Source organism: Homo sapiens, chromosome 2, assembly GCF_000001405.40.
Source record: "Homo sapiens chromosome 2, GRCh38.p14 Primary Assembly".
In the NCBI taxonomy this organism is placed as follows: Eukaryota; Metazoa; Chordata; class Mammalia; order Primates; family Hominidae; genus Homo; species Homo sapiens.
This window is the reverse complement of record NC_000002.12, coordinates 98,239,248-98,266,618: the sequence shown is the minus strand read 5'-3', so window position 1 is coordinate 98,266,618 and position 27,371 is coordinate 98,239,248. Positions and strand designations below refer to the sequence as shown.

At 37.3% G+C, this 27,371-nt stretch overlaps 1 protein-coding gene across 17 annotated transcripts in view; it reads right to left on the bottom strand.

Moving 5' to 3' along the window:
* VWA3B (von Willebrand factor A domain containing 3B) overlaps positions 1 to 27,371 on the bottom strand; it is a 243,450-nt gene that overhangs the window by 63,998 nt on the left and 152,081 nt on the right. For 15 of the 17 annotated variants that reach the window (XR_922885.4, NR_144296.2, XR_922884.2 and 12 more), the window contains 2 exons: positions 16,183 to 16,301; positions 10,445 to 10,495 (listed from right to left, as the gene is read on the bottom strand). Coding sequence is in view for 14 of the 17 variants with exons in the window: in NM_144992.5 (NP_659429.4) it covers positions 10,445 to 10,495; positions 16,183 to 16,301 (170 nt within the window). In the remaining 3 variants the exon portion in view is untranslated. Of the gene's footprint in view, positions 1 to 10,444; positions 10,496 to 16,182; positions 16,302 to 26,162; positions 26,214 to 27,371 lie in introns of those variants that run through there. The other 2 variants (XM_011510770.2, XM_011510774.1) reach the window with 2 other exon arrangements.

Genomic DNA, 27,371 nt, shown 5'->3' with positions numbered 1-27,371 from the left:
ATTCAATGCCATCCCCATCAAGCTACCAATGCCTTTCTTCACAGAATTGGAAAAAACTACTTTAAAGTTCATATGGAACCAAAAAAGAGCCCGCATCGCCAAGTCAATCCTAAGCCAAAAGAACAAAGCTGGAGGCATCACACTACCTGACTTCAAACTATACTGCAAGGCTACAGTAACCAAAACAGCATGGTACTCGTACCAAAACAGAGATATAGATCAATGGAACAGAACAGAGCCCTCAGAAATAACGCCACATATCTACAACTATCTGATCTTTGACAAACCTGAGAAAAACAAGCAATGGGGAAAGGATTCCCTATTTAATAAATGGTGCTGGGAAAACTGGCTAAGCCATATGTAGAAAGCTGAAACTGGATCCCTTCCTTACACCTTATACAAAAATTAATTCAAGATGGATTAAAGACTTAAACGTTAGACCTAAAACCATAAAAACCCTAGAAGAAAACCTAGGCATTACCATTCAGGACATAGGCATGGGCAAGGACTTCATGTCTAAAACACCAAAAGCAATGGCAACAAAAGAAAAAATTGACAAATGGGATCTAATTAAACTAAAGAGCTTCTGCACAGCAAAAGAAACTACCATCAGAGTGAACAGGCAACCTACAAAATGGGAGAAAATTTTCGCAACCTACTCATCTGACAAAGGGCTAATATCCAGAATCTACAATGAACTCAAACAAATTTACAAGAAAAAAACAAACAACCCCATCAAAAAGTGGGCGAAGGACATGAACAGACACTTCTCAAAAGAAGACATTTATGCAGCCAAAAAACACATGAAAAAATGCTCATCATCACTGGCCATCAGAGAAATGCAAATCAAAACCACAATGAGATACCATCTCACACCAGTTAGAACGGCAATCATTAAAAAGTCAGGAAACAACAGGTGCTGGAGAGGATGTGGAGAAATAGGAACACTTTTACACTGTTGGTGGGACTGTAAACTAGTTCAACCATTGTGGAAGTCAGTGTGGCGATTCCTCAGGGATCTAGAACTGGAAATACCATTTGACCCAGCCATCCCATTACTGGGTATATACCCAAAGGTCTATAAATCATGCTGCTATAAAGACACACGCACACGTATGTTTATTGAGGCATTATTCACAATAGCAAAGACTTGGAACCAACCCAAATGTCCATCAATGATAGACTGGATTAAGAAAATGTGGCACATATACACCATGGAATACTATGCAGCCATAAAAAAGGATGAGTTCATGTCCTTTGTAGGGACATGGATGAAATTGGAAATCATCATTCTCAGTAAACTATCGCAAGAACAAAAAACCAAACACCGCATATTCTCACTCACAGGTGGGAATTGAACAATGAGAACACATGGACACAGGAAGGGGAACATCGCACTCTGGGGACTGTTGTGGGGTGGGGGGAGGCGGGAGGGATAGCATTGGGAGATACACCTAATGCTAGATGATGAGTTAGTGGGTGCAGCGCACCAGCATGGCACATGTATACATATGTAACTAACCTGTACAATGTGCACGTGTACCCTAAAACTTAAAGTATAATAATAAAAATAAAAAATAAAAAAATAGATTTTAAGTCATAAGTTGTTATATCAACTTATGACTTAATAAAAAAGACATTTTGTGTTCATGGATTGAAAGACTTAATTGTTAAAATGTCCATACTACCCAAATCCACTAAGAGGATATAACAATTATATGTGCACCTAGCATCAGAGCTCTCAGATACATAAAACAAGCTTTGACAGAACTGAAGAAATAGACAGCAACCCAGTATTAGCAGGAGACTTCATGCTCTGCTTTCAATAATGGACAGAACAACTACACAGAATATCAATAATGAAACAAAGGACTTGAACACCACCAATCAACTGGGCCTAACCAACATGTGGAGAACCCTCCACCAAACAACAGCAGAATACACATTCTTCTCAAGTACACATGGAATATTCTCCAGAATAGACTGAATGTTAGGCCACAAAACAAATATTTAAAAAAAGAAAGTTGAAAGCAAAGTATTTTTTCTGAACAAAATGAAATGAACCTAGAAATAATAACAAAAGGAAAACTGGAAAATCCACAAAAATATAAAAATTAAGTCACATATTCTTAAACAACCAATGTGTCAAAGAATAAATCACAAGGGAAATTAGAAGATATCTTGAGATAAATGAAGGAAAAATACAACATATCGAAATGTATGAGATGCAGTGAAAGCAGTACTGAGAAGGAAGTTTATAGTGGTAAACACATTTTAAAAGGAGGAAGGTCCCAAATTAACAATTTAACTTTACTTTTCAAGGAACTAGGAAAAGAACAAATGAAAGCCCAAGTTAGCAGAGGGAAGAAAATAATAAAGATTAGAAATAGAGTATAGAAAAACAATAGAAAAAAAATCAATGAAAGCAAGATTTGTTTTTTTTTGAAAAGACCTACAAAATTGACAAATTCTTAGCTAGACTAGCCAAGAAAAAAGAGAGAAGACTCAAATAACTAAAATCAGAAACAAAAGGGGAAACATTACAACTGATGACACAGAAATTAAAAGGATTATGAGACTACTAAGAGCAATATTACACCGACAAATTGCATAACCAAGAAGAAATGGATAAATTCCTAGAAACATACCGCCTACTAAGACTGAATCATGAATAAATTAAAAAACTGAATAGATCTATAACTAGTAAGGAGATCAAATCAATAATCAAAAACCTCCTAACAAATAAAAGCCCAGTACCACATGGCTTAACTGGAGAATTCTGCCAAACAATGAAATAATTAATAACAATTCTCTTCAAACCTCTTTCAAAAGATTGAAAAGGGAGAAATGCTCCTAACTCATTTTATGAGACAGAAATTACGCTGATATCATAACCAGACAGAGATACTACAAGGAAAAAGAAACTACAGACCAATGTCCCTGGTGAACAGTGATGCAAAAATCCTCAACAAAACAGTAGCAAACTGAATTAAACAGCATGTTAAAAAGATAATCACCATGAAAAAAATGGGCTTCATTCCTGGAATGCAAGGATGGTTCAACATATGAAAATTAATGTAATATACCACATTAACAAAATGAAGGACAAAACCCACATGATTATCTCAAGTGATGCAGAAAAATCATTTGACAAAAGTCAACATCCTTTCATGATAAAAACACTCAGCAAACTAGGAATACTAAGAAACTATATCAACATAAGGAAGCCTACAGCTACTATTGTACTTAATAATGAAAGATTGGAAGCTTTCCCTCTAAGATTAGGAATAAGGCAACAATGTCCACTCTTCTCCCTTTATTCAACATAGTACTGGAAGTCTTAGAGAAATTAGGCAAGAAAAAGAAAGGAGCAATATCCAAATTAGAAAAGAAGTAAAATTATCTGTTTGTAGAGGACATGATTTTCCATGTAGAAAACCCTAAAGATTCCACAAATACTGTTAGAACTAATAAATTCAGCAAACTTAAAGGATATAAAATCAATACACAAAATAAGTTGCATTTCTATACACTAACAATGAACAATCAGGTAAGGAATTAAGAGAATAATCCCATCTACAATAGCACCAAAAAGAACAAATTAGGAATAATTTTAAGGAAGTGAGAGACTTGTACACTGAAAACTACAAAACATTGCTGAAAGAAATTAAAGAAGACACAAATAAATAAAAAAGACATTTTGTGTTCATGGATTGAAAGACTTAATTGTTAAAATGTCCATACTACCTAAAGTGATGTACAATTCTATGCAATCCCTATCAAAATCCCAATGGTATTTTTTGTATAAGTACAAAAAGATCCTAAAATTTATATGGAATTTCAACAGATCCTGAATAGCCAAAACAATCTTGAGAAAGAAGAACAGAGTTGGAGGCCTCATACTTCCAGATATCAAAACACATTACAAAGCTACAATAATCAAAACACTGTAGTGTAATCAAAGCAGTGGTACTGGCCTAAAGACAGACATATTGAATACTGGAACAGAATAAAGAGTCCATAAATAAGCTCTCATGTGATCTTGTCAAGTGATTTTTGACAAGGGTGCCAAGACTACACAAAGGAAAAACGACAGTCTCTCCAAGAAGTGATTCTGGGGAAACTGGTTATCCATATGCAAAAGAATGAAGTTGGACTCTTGGTTTAAAACATATATAAAAACTAACTCAAACAGATTAAATATCCAAGCCTATACAACTCCTAGAAGAAAACAGGGATAAAGCTTCATTATACTGAATTTGGCAAGCTTTTTTGGATATGACACCAAAAGTGTAGGCAGCAAAAGCAAAAATAGACAAATGGGACTATATTATACTTAAAAACTTTTGTGCATCAAAGAAAATAGCTGCACATCAACAGAGTGAAACAGCAACCTAAAAAATGGGAGAAAGTGTATGCAAATCATAAACCTGAGAATGGGTTAATGTCCAGAATATATAAACAACTCCTACAACTCAACAATAACAACAACATAACCCAGTTTCAAAATGGATAAAGGGCTTGACTAGACATTTCTCCAAAGAAGATATACAAATGTCCAGGAATCATGTAAAAAAATAATTAGAGAAATGCAAATCAAAACCACTATGAGATATCCTTCATATCCATTAGGATGGTCACTACAAAAACAAAACAAAATAGAAAATAAGAAGTGTTGCCAAGGATGTGGAGAAGGATTCATGAAGCTCAGAAAACTTCCAGCAGGATAAACACAAAGAAGAGTCACACCAACACACATTATAATTAAACTATTGAAGGGCAAAGAGAGAATCTTGAAAGGAACAAGACAAAAGTGACTTGTCATAAATAAGGACTCTTCCATAAGATGAACAGTTGATTTCACATCATCAACTATGGAAGCCAGAAGGCAACATGTTGATATATTTAATGTCCTGAAAAAAAATATGTCAGTCAAGAATTCTCTATCTAGTAACACTACTCTTCAAAAATGAAGACAAGATTAAGACATTTCCAGATAAATAAAAGGTAAGAGAGTTTGTTACTAGTAGACCTGTCCTAAAAGGAATGCTATAAAGAGCTCTTCATGTTCAAGTGAAAGGATACTGGAAGATAATTCTAAGCCATATGAAGAAATAAATAGTACTAGTAAAGATAACTACACAGGTAAATACAAACACTAGTATTCTTGTATGTTTGGTATGTAATTCCTTTTGTTGTTTTCTTTACTCTTTAAGAGGCAAATGCGTAAAATAATAATTACAAATCAGTGTTAATGGGCACACAATGTAAATGATATAATTTGTGACAATAACTATATGAAAGAGGTTGAAGCTGAATAGGAACAGTTAATGTTGGCTACTAAAACTAACTTCATATCAATTCAAACAAGATTGTTATAAATTTAGGAGGTTAACTATAATTCCCATGGTAACCACTAAGAAAATAACTAAAAAGTATACAGAAAAGGAAATAAAGAGCGATCACAACGACCCATTAGAACAAATCAAAAATAAAAGAAACAAATATTGGACAAATTGAGGAACAAAACTTTTGACATGCAAAACAAATAGCACAATGGCAGAAGTAAATTCTTCATTATTGGTAATCACTTTAAATGTCAGAGATTAAACTCACCAATTAAAACAGAAAGACTGGCAGAATGAGGTAAATAATGATCCAAATATATGGTGCTTAAAAAGAGATTCACTTTAGACCTAAAGACACAAATAGGTTAAAAGCGAAAGGATGAAAAAAGATATTCCATGGAAATAGTAACCAAAGAGAGTTGGAGTGGCTATAATATTACCAGCAAAATAGATTTGTTATAAATTGTTACAAGAGACAAAAGGTAACATCTTATATTGCTAAAAGTCTCAAATCATCAAGCAGATATAAAAATTAGAAACATACATGCATACTGATTCCTAAAATGTGTGAAGCATATATTGACAGAATCATAGGGAGGCATAGACAGTTATGTATAGTTATGCCTTGGTATCCATGGGGGATTGGTTCTAGCACCCCCTATGGAAGCCAAAATCCACAGACGCTCAAGCCTCTTAAATAAAATAGTGTCATATTTGCATATAACCTACACACATCTTTCTGTACACTTTAAATCATTTCTAGATTATTTATAATGCCAAATACAATGTAAATGCTGCATAGTTGTTATGCTATACTTATTTTTACTTGCATTTTTATTGTTGTACCATTATTTTTCTTTTTTTTAATATTTTTTATGCATGGTTGGCTGAATCATGGATGCAGATCCCAAATACATGGAGGGGCCAACTGTGTAAAAATAGTTGGAGACTTCAACGCCTCACTTTAGATAATGGATAAAACATCTAGACAGAAAATTTATAAGAAAATAGAGGACTAGAAAACACTATAAATGAACTAGACTTAACAAACATATCCAAAACACCCCATCCAGCAACATCAGAATATACATTAAGTGCACATGTAACATTTTCTGGGATAGACCATATGTTAACCATAGCAATTCTCAAGATATTTAAATGGTCAAAAATCACACAAAGTATATTTCCCACCCACAATGGAATAAAGCTAGAGCAACAATGAAGGGAAAACTGGAAAAATGGAAAATGCATAGAAATTAAATACCACATTCAAACAACCAATAGGGCAAAGAAGAAATTACTAGAGAAATTAGAAAGCAATATGAGATAAATGAAAATGAAAACACAACACACCCAAATTTATGGGTGCAGCAAAGCCAGTGCTCAGAAGAAGTTTTATGACTGTAAATTCCTCATTAAAAGATAGCTCTCAAATCAACAACCTAAATTTACACCTTAAGGACCTAGAAAAAGGAGGGAAAACTAAACCCAAAGCCAGCAGAGGAAGGAAATAATAAAGAGGAGAGCACTTATAAACAAATTACAGAATAGAAAAACAATTGAGAGAATCAACAAAATGAAAAGTTTGTTCCTTGAGAATATCAACAAAGTTGACAAATCTTCAGCTAGATTGACTAAAAGGAAAAAACACATAATTACTACTATCAGAAGTGAAAGCAGGCACATTACTAATTCAGCTTACAAAAATAAAAATAATTATAGAGAATACTATGAATAGTTCTATGCCAAAAATAGATAATCTAGATGAAATGCACAAATTCCTAGAAACAGATTACCAAAATGACTCAAGAAGAAATAGATAAACTCAACAGCCTATATAACAATTAAATACTTTGCATAAGAAATAAAAAATCCCCCAACAAAGGGAAATTAAGAAGCAGATGCCTTCACTGGTGAATTCTACCAAACAAATAATTAACAACAATACTGCTCAAACTCTTCCAAAAAATGGATGAGGGAATACTTCTTAACAGTCAGCAAGAAGAGAATTACCCTGATACCAAGGCCAGACAAACATGTCAAAGAAAACTACAGACCATTTTCTTTATAAATATGGACATAAATATTCTTAATAAAACACTAGCAAATCAAATCCAAAAGGACATTAAAAGGATTATACACCATGACTAAGTAGGATTTATGCCAGAAATGCAGGAGTGGTTCAACCCAAGAAAATCACATGATTTAATACATCACATTAGTAGAGCAAAGGGAAAAATCCATGATCATTTCAATAGATACAGAAAAAAGCACTTGACAAAATTTAACACACACTTTTCATGATAAAAACAATCAGGAAACTAGGAATATAGGGAACTTCCTTTCTTTCTCACTGGGATCAGGAACAAGACAAGAACGTCCCCTTTCACCACTGCTATTCAATGTTGTTCTGGAAGTACTAGCTAGATCAATTAGGTAAGAAAAAGAAATAAAAGGCATCCAAATTAGAAAGAAAGAAGTAAAATTATTTCTACTTGCAGATGATATGTTTCTATATATAGAAAACCCCATAGATTCCCCACAAAGCCACTAGTACCAATAAATTCAGCAAAGTTGCAAGGTACAAAGTCAAAATACAAAATTCAGCTGTGTTTTTATGTACCAGCAATGAACAATCTGAAAATGAAGTTAAGAAAACAATCCCATTTATAATAGCACCCAAAAGAACAAAATAACAGAGGATGTGAAAGGCAGGTATACTGAAAACTATATAACATTGCTGAAGGAATTAAAGATCCACTAAATAAATGGAAAGACATTCTATGTTCATTGATTGGAAAACAATATTGTTAAAATGGTAATACTCTTCAAAGCAATCTTTAGATTAAATATAATCCCTACAAAAATTCCAATTTTTTTTTCAGAAATAGAAAAGCCAATCCTCAAATGTATACAAAACTTCAAGGGGCCCTGAATAGCCCAAACAATTTTGAAATAGAAGAACAAAGTTGAAGGACTCATATTTCCTAATTTCAAAACTGAATACAAATCTACAATAATTAAAACAGTGTCAACTTGCATAAATATAGTCATATATAGACCAGTGGAATAGAATAGAGAGTCCAGAAATAAACCCAAACATTTATGGTCAGATGATTTTTGACAAGGGTGCCAAGACCATTCAAAGGGAAAGAATAGTCTCTTAAACAAATAGTGCTGGATAAACTGGATATTTACATGAAAAAGAATGAAGTTGGAACCCTACTTCACACCAGATACAAAAAGTCCCTCAAAAATGGATCAAAAGTCCAAATGTAAGACCTAAAACTGTAAACATATTAGAAGAAAACAAAAGGATAAATGCTCATGATTTTGTATTTGGCAATGGATTCTTAGATTTGACACCAAAAACACAAACAAAAGAAAAAAAAAGAAGAATTCACTTCCTAAAACTTAAAAACTTTTGGACCTCCAAGGACATTATGAAGAATACGAAAAGATAACCCATAGCATGGGAGAAAATACTGACAAATCAGATATCTGATAATGACTTAATCCTCAGAAGTTATACAACAAAAACACAACCCAATTGGAAAATGGACAAAGAACTTGAATAAACATTTCTCCAAAGAAGATATACAAATGGACAACAAGCACATGAAAAGATGTTTAACATCATTGGTCATTAAGAAAATGTGTATCAAAACCACAGCAGAATAGCCTTTCACACCCATGAGAATGACTTAAAAAAAAAAAGAAAAGGAAAATGTCAAGTGTTCATGAGGATGTGGAGCAATGAGAACCTACCACATGATCCAGCAATCTCACTACTGGATATTTATCCAAAGATAGTAAATCAATATGTATCATAGGGACACCTGCACCCTCATGTTTATTGCAGCAAGATATGGAATCAAACAAACTAAGTATCCATCAACGGATGGATGGATAAAGAAAATGTGGTATATATACACAATGGAATACTATTCAGCCAAAAAAAGGAACAAAATCCTATCATTTGCAGCAACTTAATATCATTTGCAGCACTTAATATCATTTGGAGGTCATGATATTAAGTGAGATAAGCCCGGCACAGAAAGACAAATAGTTCTCACCCATCTGTAGGAGCTAAAAACAAAAAAAAGTTGATCTTATGGAGGCAGAAAATAGAATCATAGTTACCAGAGGCAGGGAAGAGTGTGTGTGGAGGTGGGGGAGATGAAGAGAGGTTTGACTATTGGACACAAACATACAGTTAGGTAGAAGGAAAAAGTTCTAACACTTGACAACACAGTAGGGAGACCATAGTTAACAATAATTTACTGTATATTTCAAAATAGCTAAAAGAGACAACTTGAAATGTTCCCAACACAAAGGGATAATAAATGTTTGAGGTGATAGATAGTCTAAACATCCTGATTTGATCATTACATGTGTGCAAGTATCAAAATATCACATGTACCCCAAAATATGTACAATTATTATGGGTCAATAAAAATAAATAGATATGTTCTAAAAATGGCATAGCCACTGTGGAAAAACAGTTTGGTGGTTCCTCAAAAAGTTAAGCATAGAATTACCATGTGACAAGCAAATCCACTGCTAGGTATATACCCAAGAGAAATGAAAACATATGTCCACAAAGAAACTTCTACACAAATGCATATAGCAACATAGTTCATGATAGCGAAAAAGCGGAAGCAACCCAAATGCCCGTCAGTGGAAGAATGGACAGACAAACGTGGTGTATATATACACATGTAGTACTGATACCTGGGTGAACCTTAAAAACATGAGGTTTTTACATTAACTAAGAAAAGCTGCCAGACACAAAAGGTCACATGCTGTATGATTCCCTTCATATGACATATCCAGAGTAGCCAAAATCATAGAGACAGGAAGCAAACTGGTGGTAACCCAGAAAAGGGGGAGACAGGAATGGGGAGTGATTAATTTATGGTTACAAAGTGATTTTCTGGGGTAATGAAAAAGTTTTGAAACTAGAAAAAGGTAGTGGTTTGCAGAACATTTTGAATATTTTAAATACCTCTGCATTGTACACTTTAAAATGGTTAATTTTAGGTTACGTGAATTTCACCAAAAAAAAAAAGTGAGGAGGGAATGGAATGGCTTACTTTTCTTTTTCCTCTTGAGATAATGCTCGCCAAACAATTTTATTCAAGCGCCTGTTAAAAAAAAAAAGTCAACAATAATTTTGTAGCAGTACTTCATTTCATGGCAAAAGGTTAACCCCAGGCACCGCAGTGGGAGCCCATCTAAGCATCATCTCCACTGAGCCAGGCCACTGTCATGTGCTTAAAGACACTGGATGTGTCACCTCAGCATCACTGCAGCAGCCTCGTGGTTTTGTGGCAATTGCGTCAAATATTAAAGGAGGGCTCAGTTCCCAGCTCAGCCAGGTAAAACTCAGACTGAGTAAAGGCAGTTGACAAACTGGTCTTCATTATCTCTGTTTTAAGTCGTTTCTAAACACCCACCATTTTTCTTCTTACGGGAACATAACTGTGCTCTTTAGTTCGCTTTCTGTAGACACTCTTCTGCCTGGATTCTCAGATCAAAAGAGTTTAACAGGGTCATAAATAATAGGATTGGGACACACTTTAGAGATCAAGCAGGCTGGCTGCCTTGTTTTCCAAACGAGGCTGCTAGGAGGGGCAGCTGGATGAAGCACCTTGCTCACCCACAGCTGCTGGCTGGCGGTGCTGAGACTGATCGCGTTTTCAGAGGGAAGCTGTTGACCCAAGAGCAAAGAAGGAGGTTGAAGCTAGTGGTTCCTACAGGGTAGCTATAGCTGCTCTTTTGGCTACTAATCAGTGTTGCTTCTTCAGAGTTCCCAGCCCAGTTCTGTGTCATCATGTCAGGACATCATTACCCAAAAGCAGGCTTTCTGAGCTGCAGGGCAGAGAACACTGGCTCCAGGGTTGTGAGCTGATGTTCCATTAAAAAACACTGCTTCCAGCCGGGTGCAGTGGCTCACGCCTGTAATCCTAGCACTTTGGGAGGCCGAGGCGGGCGGATCACCTGAGGTCAGGAGTTCGAGACCAGCCTGGCCAGCATGGTGAAACCCTGTCTGTACTAAAAAAAAAAAAAAAAAAAAAAAAAAAAATATCAGCCGGGCGTGGTGGCGGGCGACTGTACTCCCAGCTACTCAGGAGGCTGAGGCAGGAGAATAGCTTGAACCCAGGAGGTGGAGGTTGCAGTGAGCCGAGATCACGCCACTGCACTCCAGCCTGGGTGACAGAGCGAGACTCCATCTCAAAAAAAAACAAAAAACAAAAACAAAAAACACTGCTTCCATACAATGAGGTAGGAGAATGCTACTGCTCTTCAGGAGGCATTCTTCTAACCACTGGACCCAGCATCAGCTGGACAGGGCTCAGAGGACACATTTCGGGTGGCTGCATTCTCCTGCCCTGCCCTCCCATCATGAGCCTGGTAAGAACACAGAAAGGGTGTCTGCAGACAGGGCCTCTGAAGAGGGTAGACTCCGGAGCCACAACTCCAGGGCCCAAAGCTCAGTCGGCTTCTTCTCCTTCTTGCCGTGAGGCTTTGGGCCAGTGCCCAACTTTTCGGTAAAGTGGGGATAGTAGTACCGCTCCACTCCTAGTGTCGCCATGAGGACTTGAGCTAGTGTGTACACAGCACATAAATTGTGTCTGATCCAGGTAAATGTGCTCTAAGTGATAGAAAAAGAGTCGGGAAGAGGGAAATAAGTCAGCTCAGTGCTTCTGTCTCACTTGAGATGTTTGGTTCTTTGAGGCCTATTTGGAAATTGGCTTTCTTGAATCATGTGATTCAGGTAATAATGATTAAGGCTTCCAAGATTTGTTAAAAGGATTTATAGTACGCATTTTAGGTATCTTTGTGCTTCTCTGAAAAACAAACAAGCAAACGAACAAAAAACCCATTCACAATCCCCTTAAATGTAAATGTAGAGAGTGGAGGCAGTGTAGTGTGGAGGCTGGGAGTGTGGTAAGGGCTCTGGGTTCAAACCTTGGTGTCCTCACTTTGCTGCTGTGTGATCCTGTGCTACGTAGCTTTTGGAAACTGTTTTCTCATTGATAAGACAAGGCTAACACCACCTGCCCTTGGAATCCTTGAGAGGATTAAGTGAGATGCATACATAAAGTGATCACGAATAGCTCAATGTTTATTCCCTCCAGGTTCTGAAAAGCAAGGCTTAGAAACACTGAGTAATCATTGGTAAATGTGGGTCCAGTTTGCTAGCACAGGTCTCTAATTTTAATTCACTTCTTTAGAAAATATTTTTCCAGGAGCACATTTTCATAGCCTTTGTTATTCCCCTATTTTCCATCTTCACTAAAATACTTCAACAGCTCTACTGTCCAGGGAGGCCACCGCAGGAAAGCCAAGTGGGATGAGGGAGTCCCTGTGGGATTCAGGCCCGGCACTGGACCTGAGGGCCTCTCTGCGGCTGGTCCAGCCCCATGATTCAGGGATTTTTCTAACAAAGTTTCCCTCATTGTTTTTTGTAGGAGAGAGAAATTTGGCTAAGGGATTGCATTCACCAACTTTCTGTATCTCTAATTCTCACATCAGCTTGTGCCAAGAGTTGACTCATTTGCAAAGCAACTTGTAACTAGTGACACTTCAGAAGGCCAAGAAGCAGCCGGCCCAGCAAATTGCAGATGGTAAGGAGAGGTTTCTAAGCATGGTCCCCAAGCCAGGCTAGAACGGATACTGCTTCTGTGATCTGAGAGCTGTGACCTTGACCTTAGACTTTCAATGAAAGTAAGCAACAGAAAAATCACTCCAGAATCCAGCCAGCCCTGGCAATATCCACTCAAAGCTTATACTCAGACACACAAAGCCAAAATTGCTGCCTCGGTTCTTAAAATGAGACAAAAGGACTCCCATGCATGGGCACTAAGTGTGACCCCAATAACAAGTTTATGTCATTATTTTGACCAAAGGACTGTGAGCTTTCCATTTGCCTGGTCATCCTTAAACATATGGATTTATGATTACACAAAGGTTGTTTTTAAAGTTACATCTCGCTTATCTTTGTTGGAAAACTCCTTAGAAATGTTATATAGGGGATGGGGGTGGTAAATGTGTCATTAATTACTTTTCATATTCTGACTATCTTGAGAAAAATGAAGCAAAATGGAAAAAGAAATTGACATTTATACCAACAACACTCTTAAACACAATTGAATGCAAATGATCAGGAAATTTGGTTCCGTATAATATTCATGTTACTATTAATATTAAATAACAATGTTAAATAATTTACTTGATACAAACATCAAATTAGTGATACCAAATAATAACAATTCAATCAGTAACTTAATTATTAAATAATACCAATCATGTTAAAATTGTTATTAATAACTTGATGTTAATATAATTAATAACAATATAGTGACAATATTTCTCTAGAGGGTACTAAAAGGCTTTTCCAGATTCACTCACTGAAAGTAAGAAGGAGGACAAATGACTTACTATGTTTGTTTTGGTTTTGCTGCTAAGAAAGGAGGCCTCTCTTTTGCCTGGGAAGGGGCTCCCTGTCCTTTCCTGAAATCCTTGGGAAAAGGTCAATGCAGTGGGAAGAACCAGATGACGATTTCACTCCATGCACCTATGGTTATTTTAGGGTCAGCAGAGTCAGGAGTGAAAGGGGGAAGTAATGAACATCAGTTCCTCTTTACATATCATTTACATAATCCTCACAACAGACCTGTGAGATAGATTCTGTGAACAAGGAATCTGAGGCTCACGACTGTCACACACTGGAACAGAGCTGGTGTCAGAACCAAGCAGGAAACCCCCGCGAACCATCTGACCACGAAGCTCTATCTAGCTCGTGGCCCTGCATCAGGCTTTCACAGGCCGGGTAATTATAGGACTCAAATATTTGAATTATTCAAGCAAACTACATTAGAATGTGAATGGTATTGTTATATGGCATTTTGAATGACTGAATTTGAAGAATGGAATTATATAAAATTTGAATTAAATTTGAATAGTCATATACACACAGACGCCTGCTAGGAATAGGGTATGCAGGAGGAAGCAAGGCTGGCTGAGCCCTGGCCTTGGGAGCTGACATCCTAGAGGGCAGAGATGGTCACCAAGCCACCGCCCCTGCAGAAGCTGTGAGTGCTCTGAGGGCCACACGAAGGGTGGGCGCTGAGAGGAGCTCCCGAGAGGTCTCTCTGAGAAGGATCATTGGTGCTGAGGTGAGAAGCGATGAAAGACCCAGCTGGGGACAGCAGCATAACCGGAGAGGAGCCGAGCTGGGAGGCAAGGCCTGTCTGGAAGTCTCCGACCCACGGGGAAGGGTGAGCCTTGAATAGCTCATCCTGCTTCCCAAAGAAATGCTCATCCTTGGTTCTTCTTTCCTCTCAGGTAAAGATTCAGAAATACTGAGGAGCCCACAGAGGCTGCTGAGGAGCCTCGTAAGGCGGCCTCCACTCTCGGGTGAGGGCAACGATGGAGGCTCACGTTAAAGGGGGTTTGGAGAGGCCTGGGTTGGACACAGTGGAGCAAGGTCTGCCGTTGGAATGATCCTTCGTGGGGCAGGATCAGGCCTTATATTTGTTTGACTGAGCACATGCTAGACACATTGCAAAATGACAGCAGACCAACATACGCTGGCCTGGGCCAATAGTTAACTTTCCTGAACTTTATTTCACCCACCCGCATGGTGGCAAATGACAACTCAACTGCACAGTTCCCAGAACCGAGGACAGGCTGGCCTGCAGAAGCCAAATGCTCAGAGTTTAATTAAGTTTGTGCACCCAGGATTAATTAAGGGCTGGGGACCGGGGAGGGAGGTGATTACAGCATGGACAAGGACCAGCCTGTGAGCAGAGTCTCCTGTCTCAGCAAGGATACAAGGGTGTGTGATCATCATCTTGAACTTGATAAAAGTAATTTTAAAATTAACAAAAGCCGTTATTTCCATTATCTCATTACTGTCGAGTTTTATTAGTCACTTTATAGAATGTTAGATGCCAAAACAATCAGATGCATTCTGCTAAAAGGAAAACTTTACAGATCTCATGGAAACATGAGATTTTTATGGATATTGGAAAGGGAAGATAGTTTCTTTAAAACCTTGTTGAAGATATTCAGGTAAAGTACTTGATGCAGTGCCTAGCATGTAGGAAGCCCCTACAATAGCTGCTGCCACTGTTGTTTATATTCCTTATGAGCAATTTTTTTTAGACGAGGTCTCACTCTATCACCCAGGCTGGAGTGCAGTGGTGCAATCACAGTTCACTGCAGCCTCCAACTCCTGAGCTCAAGTAACTCCCTTCTCAGCCTCCCAAGTAGCTGGGACTACAGGCACGCACCACCACACCCAGCCTGTATTTATTTATTTATTTTTCATCACAGAATTTTATTTTTATTTTTGTGGGTACACAGTAGGTGTATATATTTGTAGGTTACATGAAATATTTTGATACAGGCATATGATGTATAATAACATCAGGGTAAATGGGGTATCCATCACCTCAAGCATCTATCCTTTCTTTGTGTTACAAATACTCCAACTATACTCTTCTAATTATTTTTAAATGTACAATAAATTATTGTTGATTGCAATCACCTTGTTGTGATATTATTCTTTAAATTATTTGTAGAGACAAGGTCTTCCTATTGTTGCCCAGTCTGGTCTTAAACTCCTGGCCTCAAGCTGTCCTCCTGCCTCAGTCTCCCAAAGTGCTGGGATTACAGGCATGAACTACCACACCCAGCCTGAACAATTTTTAAATAGCTGCTTCATTAAAAAAAAAAAAAAGCTAAGCTAAAACAAGAGAAGTCTCCTTCTCCATAAAATAAATTCCACATCCATTAAAGAGCAGCCAAGAGTAATACTCACTTTTCATAGGATTGAATTGCCTGTTCCACTTTTCGCTTGTAGATATTGAGTTTGGCTCCTTGGGGGTTAATTAATGTCATCTTATTTGTGTCGTTGCACACATGTGCCAGAGGGAACACCTGCATGTCAATGGCAAAGGAAAGGAAAGTGTCACTTGATAGGTTAATGCGTGCCTTCGAAAATACATCTACATAGTTGTATAACATGTTTTCTCTGACTATAAAGTCAATATACAATAAATGTAGAACATTAGAAAACACAGTAAATCACAGAGAAAAAAGAGATATCATTGCTAACCTTTACTGTTCAATGTTTAAAACTATATATTTTAGAAATCACTACCACCACATACACACATGCACACACACACACCAAAAAACAACCACCGCCAAAACTGTTTCAGAAAACCTTAATTAGAATTGCGAATTATCTTCAGAAGTCTCTGTCAAATTGGTAAGAGTGGGCAATAAGAAATAGATCTCATTGTTGCTTCTTTGTAAATTGCTATTTGAGTTAAACACCTTTTTCATATATTTATTTTACATTTGATTTTCTTTTGAGAATATTTGATTATAGTTACCATATTTTGACGATTTCTCTTATCCTTTTTTTGTTTGTTTGTTTGTTTTTGAGATGGAGTTTTACTCTTGTAGCCCAGGCTGGAGTGCAATGGTGTGATCTCGGATAAGAGATTCTTACACGTGTGAAAGAATGCTTAGTGATCAATAAATGAGGCTTCTTTTTGAGTTCTTTCTCTCTGTGCCTGGTACTTACTTCTGGGTTTTGGGATATCTTTGATTTCATGCCAAGCAGCTCCGGGGGGAAAAGATGGTAAATGTATTGGTTTGGTGGAACTTCAAATTCTGGTCTCCTTCCCCAATTTTGGGGGGACCCTTTCAATTTCAAAGTTCACTGTTAGCTTCTCCATGTATTCTATCCAAGACTTACAGTTGTATTCAAAGGCACAAACAGGGTAACAGACGCTTACCTCATCTTCTCTAGAATTGAAACCCTCCTTCAATCTTTTTTTCCAAATTCTTCTTTAATCTTGATAGTAACTGTAACTTTATGTTTACCTATTTGCATATTACCTACCTCTCTCTATCAGAATGTAAGTTCCATAAGACAAGAAATGTTGTGCTATTCACTACTGTATTCCTATCACTTAGAATAGTACCTGGCACACAGTGTGCCCTCAACAAATGTTTGTTGATAAAGGAATAAACGCATGTTCCCAAAAAGGTATATTCCATATATTAATATTTAAACAAAAATGCAAAAAAGCCTAACAGGAAAATGCCAAGCTATACTGTCATTGTTTCAAAAATGATTCCACCCATAAGGAGCATGTAGGCATTTTAGAAATGTGGGAAATTATTTTTAAGAGGTAAATTTTTAATTTTAATTGAGGTGACATAGTTTATGCTTTTATGTTTCCTCTTGCCTCCAAAATGATACAATAATGTTATTGTTGTTGCTATGTTTAAGAAAATAATACAAAGAGGGAAGGAAGGAAGGAAGGAGAGAAAGAAAGAAGAAAGAAAGGAAAGAGAGAAAGAAAGAAAGAAAGAAAGAAAGAAAGAAAGAAAGAAAGAAAGAAAGAAAGAAAGAAAAAGAAAGAGAAAGAGAGACAGAGAGAAAGGGACACACGCTGATAGGTTTTTAGAGACAAAAAGCTGAGCAGAAATGTAAACATATGAGTGTTGTTGAAGCTGTAGGCTTGTTAAGCTGTGTGTCCAAAGATGGCAAGGCAGAGGGAGTTCAACTCCTGGAAAGCTAGTGGGACTAGGAGTGTTCTGAAAAACAAAGGCCTATGTCAGGCTCAATGCCTGACGTCAGCATTGGTATGAGGGTCTCTCACCCCTGAAAGAAGGTCCTGCTTAGGGAGAGAGGACACTGATGTAGCCTCGCAAGACCTAAATCAAGGCACTCTTTGAATCTGTGATATCTACAACATCACCATGGAACAAGAGCTATAAAAGCCCATGAGGGTTGGGGGATGGATCAAGGGGATGGATTTAGGCAACTGCCAAATAGAAGGAGAAAGAGAAAAGGCAGATTTTTAAAGAATCTTGTGAAAATGAGCCAACATACTAGAATTCCCAAGTATACACCAAAAAATGCCAAAATCATAGCTGAGCAAATTAACAATCAGAATGTCAATTCACATGATAATAAATTAAATTTATGAGCCATCTAACAATGACTTTAAATTAATTATGATTAAAATTGTTTATTTATTATTAGGTTGTTCAAAGATGTTACAGCCATATAAAAGTACAAAAATTTACTAAAGTGTCTTAAGAAGAAATGGATGGGAAAAAAAACCAGAAAAAAATTTATCTTGGAAGAAAAGACATTGTAATTCAAACAAAAAATAATCTTAATAGAATAAATTCTAGGCTACACAAAATTTTTAAAAAAGAACTGGTGAACTGGGTGATAGATAGTACTGCAGACTTTCCTCAGAATATAGCACAGAGAGACAAAAATAATATAGATAACTAGATGATGATTGAGAAACTTCAATATATATTAATAGACATTTTAAAAGAATAGAATAGAAAGATGGTTAGATAATCAGCATTTAAAACCATAATCATAATAGCTGAGTTTTCTAGAGTTTAATGAAAGAAATAAGTCCTCAGATCAAAAATCAGCCCACAACAAAAGACTAAAAACAAATCCACACATAGACACATCATCATAAGACTGCAGCATACTGAATCTAAAAGAAAATCTTAAAAGCAACTCAAACAAAACAGACTGTATAAAGGAGTAGTATATATATCAGATAATAGATATGTGAAAATAATATCTTTATTTGCTAAGGGGAATTTACAGTTAACAGAGACTTTTATATCCAGCTAAACTATCACTCAACAGCCAAGAGAAAACTAAAGATGCTTTTTAGATATAAAGAGATATACAGCTGAAACTGTTAAAAAATTTAATTAACTCTTGAAAGTCAAAAAAGATTACATGTCCTAAAGGCAAAAGTGAAACTCTAAATCACAGTGACAAGATTTTTGGGGGAAAGGTTTTTAATGACTAATTAAAAGGTACTAAAATCCCCCATTGTGTTTGGGAGGAGAATAAAAATACAAAATACCTTGAGACTTAGTTAAAAAAAATTGTTGGCTGGGCATGGTGGCTCACACCTGTAATCCCAGCACTTTGGGAGGCTGAGGCGGGTGGATCACTTGAGGTCAGGAGATCAAGACCAGCCTGGCCAACATGGTGAAACCCCGTCTCTACTAAAAATACAAAAATTAGCTGGGGGAGGTGGCGGGTGCCTGTAATCCAAGCTACTCGGGAGGCTGAGGCAGGAGAATCACTTAAACCCAGGAGGTGGAGGTTTCAGTGAGCCGAGATCACACCACTACACTGCAGCCTGGGCGACAGTGCGAGGCTCTGTCTCAAAAAAAAAATTGTCATTACATTAAAACTTTTAAAACAATCACTAAAGGAATAGAAATACAAGCAGTGATCATTTAAAAATGACATTTAACAGAAAGCATAAAAAATAAGAGGTTAAAAAAAGTTCAAATATATTCGTATTTACAAAAAATGGTATTGCACTTAGTGGAAAAATAGAGCAGGAAAAATAAATCAAGATAGATAAAATCTCAAAAACATAGTATTAAAACAAATAGTAAGTTTCATAATGGTGCTTCCAGTGTAATACCATTTCTATAAAGTTTTAAACCTGTAGGACGATGTTTTAGTGCTTTTGTATTAGGAATATTAAAATAGGCTGGGTGGGGTGGCTCACCCTTGTAATCCCAGCACTCTGGGAGGCCGAGGCGGGCAGATCACCTGAGGTCAGGAGTTTGAGATCAGCCTGGCCAACATGGTGAAACCCTGTCTCTACTAAAAATACAAAAAAAAATGAGCCAGGCATGGTGGCATGTGCCTGTAATCCCAGCTGCCTGGGAGGCTGAGGCAAGAGAATCGCTTGAACTCGGGAGTTGGAGGTTGCAGTGAGCCGAGATTGCACCACTGCACTCCAGCCTGGGCAACAGAGTGGGACTCCATCTCAAAAATAAATAAATAAATAAATAAAAATTAAAATGTATATGAAAACTCATGCTAGGGTTTATCTCTGGAGAAGGAGGAATGGAAAGTGGAACAAAAAGGAGTTGCACAGGTGGCTGCAACTTTATCTGAAATGCTTTATTTTTAAAATAATGGAAAAATTTAAAAATTAGGTTTAAAACTATCAATAGTGGTTACTTCTAAAAATTGAGATTTCAAGACAAGTGAAGAAGGTAGATAGGACTTTTACTTTTTACTGTATTGTTTCATTTTTTAAAAACTACATATATTTAATTCGGTAATTAAACCACCAAAGACTAAAACAAACAAATAATAGGCAAAGATTTAGAAAACTGAAGAGAAAGAAAGTTAAGAAACTGAACAGTCCAATCTTGCTACTTAACAACCACATGAATTCAGCATGTGGCTTCTAAACAATTCTTGTCAAAGAGAAGGAACCAGACAGTGGGCTGAAAGGTGGGAGGACTGAACTTTGAAAACAGAATGAAGCTTGTAGAAATTTTAAAAAAATAAAATCATCTCTCGAAATAGAGCTATATGTCACATAAACTTTTAGAAGAAAAAAAGGATCAGTCTCAACAAAATGAAAGTCCCTTGGGTTTTTCTTTCCCTGGAAAAAATACCCCGTTAGAAGTCTGTAAATAGCTTTCCAAATTTGCCCAGTATGGCACAATTGTGAATCAATACCACTAAGCAACATTATAACATTTCATCATGATCAGCTTGTCTCCTGACTTAATGTATTTAAGAAAAACCCACTGCTTAGTGTTCTACTTCCCTCTTTTGTGGATTTCAACCTCATGCCTTTCGTGGCCATTGTGTGCTTCAGTGTGATAGTAGCTCAGATTTGGCTTGTGTGCACCCACTCTCCGTCCTCTCCACATGCAGATCCAGGGAAAGATAAAGTCATACCCCACACTTCGAGTCTGACATCTTAGTTTTTACAACATGGTGGCTGCGTGGAGATCACAGGAAATGTTTTCTTTATGATGTCAAATTTAGTGTGACTATGAGGTCATAAGGGGCATTCTCATAAGGACTTGGGGGGCAGAATCATGGCACCCCCGGCTTCTGTAAGAAAGCAAGTGGGGAGGGAGCTGAGGTTAATGAAGACATTGAGAGCTCTGTTTGAGAGGGAATAAAACCACCTGGTCTTGGCACCTTGGGAAATATTTACTTGTTACTGTTATAATGCAAATCAAGCATAACTGGCTAACGAGGGACTCTTCTGGATAATATTTGATTTAAGGGAGGCTTAAGGTATTACCTACTTTAATTCAATTCTCTTGAGGTTAACCTAGAAGCCTTATCAAATTGATATGAATAATTACACCATATGTGACAAGGTTGTGACTAGTAGAGAGGTAGAGGTAGTGATCGAGATGGGGATGGAGGGTGCAGAGAGACAGTCACTGACCATAAAGGGCAGAAGGAATTGCTGGGATGCATGAACAGGCCAGTTTGGGCTGATTCTGTTAGAATTCTCCCCACTGTGAGATGAAATACTCTGTAAGCAACCACTGTACTCAATAGTGATTATCAATAGTGATAATACTATTTATCCTTACTCTCTGCCAGGCACTGACTACTCTACATAATTTCTTATTCAATTCCTTTATAGACAAATGTATTTAATTGCAGTTTTGTTGTGTGTCTTTCCTCTTCATAAAACTTTATAATCCTTTATTCCCCTTTGAAATTACTAGTTTCTAGAACAAAACATGTCCCAAATAATCATTTATTAAATAAATAAAACACTAAAACTATATATAAATTAACGGCTGAGATTCAAAACTTTTTTTAAGTTTATCGTATTATAAAACATAATTGTTTGGATTCCACCAAATTTGAATTCTTGGTAGTTGAGACATGGGATGAAATGTAACTGTGCTATTTAAGAGGTGTTTCCTAAACATATGAATAATGTGAAAAACAGCTTAAGAGATATATTTAGCTTACATAAGAAAACTATTCACAAATGATAAAAGAATTGAAATTGAAATTGAAATACCATTTAGCAACGTTTTTTGATGTTTTTTGTTTTTACTGTTAACTGTTCTAAGGGATAGCAAAGAGATACAGGAAAATGAGGATTCTTCAAAATTCCAAGTAAACTGCCCCCAATTGGGAGGAATAATTAAACTGTAGTAATTTATATTACTGAATGTTAGTGTAATCACTAAAATTCATCCCAAAATGGCTATTGTAAGGAAAAATGTTCATAACATATGCTAAATTAAGAACACAGAATACAGAACTGTGCCCACAGCTATTGATTGTTAAAGTAGAACAGGTCGAATTCCACCTGACAACATTCTAGCTGTGTTTAAAAGCAATCACAAAACATTTTGAAATTGAGAAACTAGTGTGAAACTGGTGATTATCTATTGTTCAACTCTGACTGAATTCTCCAACTTCACTGTTTTTCAACTAAATCAGTTCTTCCAGTAAATATCCCAGAGCTTCCTACCAGATTGGCCAAGGAGAGGTTCTGATTGGATGTGTGTAATGGAAATGTAATAGCTGTGTAAATCCCACACAGGGAATCTTTGAATGTAGGTGCAACAGCTTTATAGATATTACAGTTGTGCAAATGGCCAAGTGCCAAAACTTAAATGTCTGCCTTTCAAACTGAAACACCTGCAGGCTCCATAGAACAAAATGAAAGCAGGGCCACAAAACAGCTGGCCAAATCGCATGTCAGTAAGATCATTCATAAACCCATGAGAGTATGTTACTAAGTGTAAATTACATGGTGGCTCTTGCCTGTAATCCCAGCACTTTGGAAGAGCGAGGCAGGTGGATCACAAGGTCAAGAGTTCAAGACCAGCTTGGCCAATATGGTGAAACCCCATCTCTACTAAAAATACAAAAAAATTAGTCAGGCATGGTGGTGCGTGCCTGTAATCACAGCTACTCGGGAGGCTGAGGCAGGAGAATTGCTTGAACCCGGGAGACAGAGGTTGCAGTGAACAGAGATCACACCATTGCACTCCAGCCTGGGCAACAGAGCAAGACTCCATCTCAAGAAAAAAAAAATTACATCTCACAGTTTTTCAATCTAAACTTGTAGAAAATAAAACTCTATTCTCAATTTAAGTTTAAATTAATATATTTCAATTAAAAGGCTGAGCATTTAAACTGGTATAGTAGATAAGTATATGCCAGCATGGAACAATGTTCATGGATAGGTGGTTGAAAAATGCAGGTACAAAACAGGATGTTCAGTTTCATTTAATTATGATAAAAACAAAAACAAAGAACAAAGGGTCTGGATATCTATATACAGAAAGTAAGAAGATCTGGCCAGATAACCATGAGATGATGAGGTGGATGATAACTATTGCTTCTTTCTTTTTCACTTATCTACATTTTCTAATCTTTCTATACATTGAATATATACATATGTAGGTTTTGTGATAACTGTTTTAAATTTTTAATTAAAAAGCTTTTCTATCAGTGTACAGTTTTGTGTTCATTGCTATTATATTTAAAAGCAACAAAATGTCATGACTTGACAGCACCCCTAGCCTCTCTGCACCAAATATTCCTTGTCAGCTAAATGGTGAGCTGAATAGCCACCTCACAGGTCACTCTAAGTTTTAGATGAGATATTTGATGATAGCAAATGCTTTACTCAGAACCTAGTATATGATGAGGGTGCACTGCATACTAGATTAGGGAGCTTGCCATGGTCCTTCAGGAGTAAATGACAGAGCTGGAGCACCAATCCAGGCTATCTGGCCACAAAGCTATGTGCAGAACCCGGAGAAGGACGGACAACACAGGAAGCCTTGATGGGATGCTGTAAAAGACATTATGATAACGACAATGATGATGGGTGATGATGTAGACTCTCCAGTGGTGCAGACCAATTTTCCCAAATTATTTCAATGCTTTTCAAATCAACCAGCAAATAAAGAGCTTTAAATTCTAGGTTCATTACATAGCTAAATCAGTTTTATTGTGTATATGACTTGGGGAAGAGTTAATCTTTTTGAAAGAGCTAAGATAAAATTATCGAGTCCATTTTGCATCTTGTAATGAAGAGTTGCTAGGGCAACCTCTTTGCTCAATACCTCATTTCCAAGGTGACCGATTTGAGGCTGGTCCGGGAAACACTGAAAACCAAAACAGCATTGTGTTCCAGAAGAAGAAAGAGCCCATACATAAGTGATGAATGAAACAAAGAGCTGGGGACAAAGCCAGACACTGCTTTACAACTCTATGCAGACAGATGTGGCCGTGCACAGAACACAGGAGGAGGACGCAATTAAGATTCTCAGTGAAGTAAGACTCTAGTGTGTTTCCTTTTCAACTCCATTCTACTTTTTGTCTGCTTTTTCATAAAAGTCCAAACATCAAAAAGGTATACATCCCATGAGGTGGGAGATATTTGAGATTATTATTTTGTTATTCTTTCCATTTATAGCTGAGGGTGTCTTCCAGTCAGAGAAAATATTAGGGAATCAAAGATACAAAAGTGCTTTGGATGTGAGACTGGAGATCACTGCAGTATATGCCTGTCATCAGAGTGATTCTTACTATGAATAAGGGAGGGCAAGTGTGCTGTGCAGTGCCTACCTACGTGCAGGCTGTCTTGAGAACTCACAATGCCACAGAAGGCACCAAGCACAAGTGCCCATGGGATGTGCTTGAGAACTGTTCATCCCCTCCCCTGGGCTTTGTGTTCTAGAGGCAGACGACTAGGATGCCCCCCTGAAGAACAAGACCCTCACTACTCATTCTTTATTTTTCCCCTGCTTGATATTCCAGGCTGGAGTCTGGAGAATCACTCTTGGCATTTTTCTCTCTCTCAGCCCCACATCGTTGACTTGACTTTATAAAGAGCTTTGGGTACATCCGCAGTGTTTCAGCCACACAGCCTACTGGTTCCAGCCACCCAGCCCTGCCTCCTGACTGCCCCCATCTCCCCAACTGCCTCCTGACTGCCCGCCTCTCCAACTATTCTCTGTGTGCCAGCTCAAACCCCAAATTAATTTCTCCTCTGCTAACAACCCCTCCATTCCCCTCAGGATGAAGTTCAAAATCCTTAATTCAATCAAGGCCCTTCCTTCACCAGCTTTATCACCTTCTCCACTCACACTAAACTTCTCTGGAATGACAAACATTCTCTGTTCCTTAGGATTCCCCAAGCTCCCCCACTGCCTGGGGCTCTCTTCCCATCTCTCCACCTTCATAACTCCTTCTCTTCCCCTGGGTCTGAACTCCGATGCCACTAGCTAAGGCAAGCCTTCTGTGGCCACTGAAGCCAGGTGAGGGACATCTCCTGCATCTTCACTCAGCACTTCCCACTCGTCACATTTAACTAGAACTTCTCTCATTTTCATTGCTACTTCCTCCTGAGACTGTCGGTTGTGCTTGGGTAGGAATGTTGGCTTTCCTGTTTGGCACTGTATTCTAGAGCCCAACACAGGCATATACAATAGGCATAAATTTGTTGAATATTTTTATAATAAAAGTCAACATTTTAAGTGCCTGCTAAGTACTTTACACTGTATGCATTACTTCTTTTAATTCCATAACAACCTCAGAGTAGGCATATTATTATTCACAGAGTATGGATATATCACATACATCTCAGAGAAAAAAATTTCTAACTGTTGGACTGAATATTAAGTTTGCTTCTTCAGCATATGAACCAATGAGGAAAGAATAGGCTGAATAAAGATCTTATGTCTGCATCCTACTTTCAGGGTTTTCAAAGCATTTCTACACACCAAGGACCAATGATTATCAAGTATTACACAGAGTTCTTCTTAGGAAGAGAGTACTACTTTACTCTGTCTGTGGGGATACATGCTAGTGAAAATGTACAGTGAATTTGGGGGATGATTTGAATTATCAAAATTTAAAATGCACATACCCTTTGGGTCCAGCCATCTGACTTGAGGGAATTTCTTCCAAAGCCAGACTTATACATGTGCCCAAAAATCTACGTGCAAAGATACCTGTTACAGGAATGTTTGTAAGAGGGGAAGGAAGAACACAATGTAAATATCCATTAATAATGGGGAAGAACCTTGCAACTATAGGCATGAGACCATCTACCTGTATGGAAAGGGCTCTAAGACAAAATGTTTAAAATAGTTTTTAAAATAGTAAATGTATATGGTATTGTCTTATTCATGTTTATTAAAGTTCTTATGTGTCTCTGTATAAATACGTTATGTGTGCACATACTTACATATGCATATGTAGAAAAAGGATTGGAAGGAAATTCACCAAACTATTCAACGTGTTTCCTTCATGGATAGGCGTAGTGGTGAGAGAAGCCTCCTCTGAAGACTTAAGTATGGCTTAAATCTCATATACTGAGAATTATTCATATATTACTTATCAGATAAAAATAAAGCAGTTAATTAAAAATTAAGTTCCCATTACATTTACATCATTTTGTCATTTGCTTTCAGGTCTGTTTCACTTTCTTTCTTTTTTTTTTTTTAGATGAAGTCTCGCTCTGTTGCCAGGCTGGGGTGCAGTAGCGTGATCTCAGCTCACTGCAACCTCTGCCTCCCGAATTCAAGCAATTCTCCTGCCTCAGCCTCCCGAGTAGCTGCGACTACAGGCACACGCCACCACACCTGGCTAATTTTTTTGTATTTTTAGTACAGACGGAGTTTCACCATGTTGGCCAGGATGGTCTCGATCTCCTGACCTAATGATCCGCTGCCTCGGCCTCCTGAAGTGCTGGAATTATAGGTGTGAGCCACCGCACCTGGCCAGGTCTGTTTTTCTTAACATTTTTCTCAGTGTATAATTAATAATGTTCAGAGTTAAAAGTACTACAATAAAAATTAAAAGCTACATAAATTTAAAAAAAAAAAACATCTCCCAACAATCTCACCACCCAGCTAAACTGTTAACATTTTGGTAAAAGAAAAAAGGGAGGGAAGGGGAAAGTACCACCATGCCTAAATCAGTCACATGAACAACCAAGTTTCTAACACACTATATATTCTGATTTTTTTCATTTAGCATGATATTTCATTTAGCACGATATTTCATTTAGCACGAGGACTTTTCATCGTGTGAAACTTATTCTTTAGAAATGTGATATCTGATGAATGTATGACATGCCATTATATGAATTTGTGTTGTTTTCCATT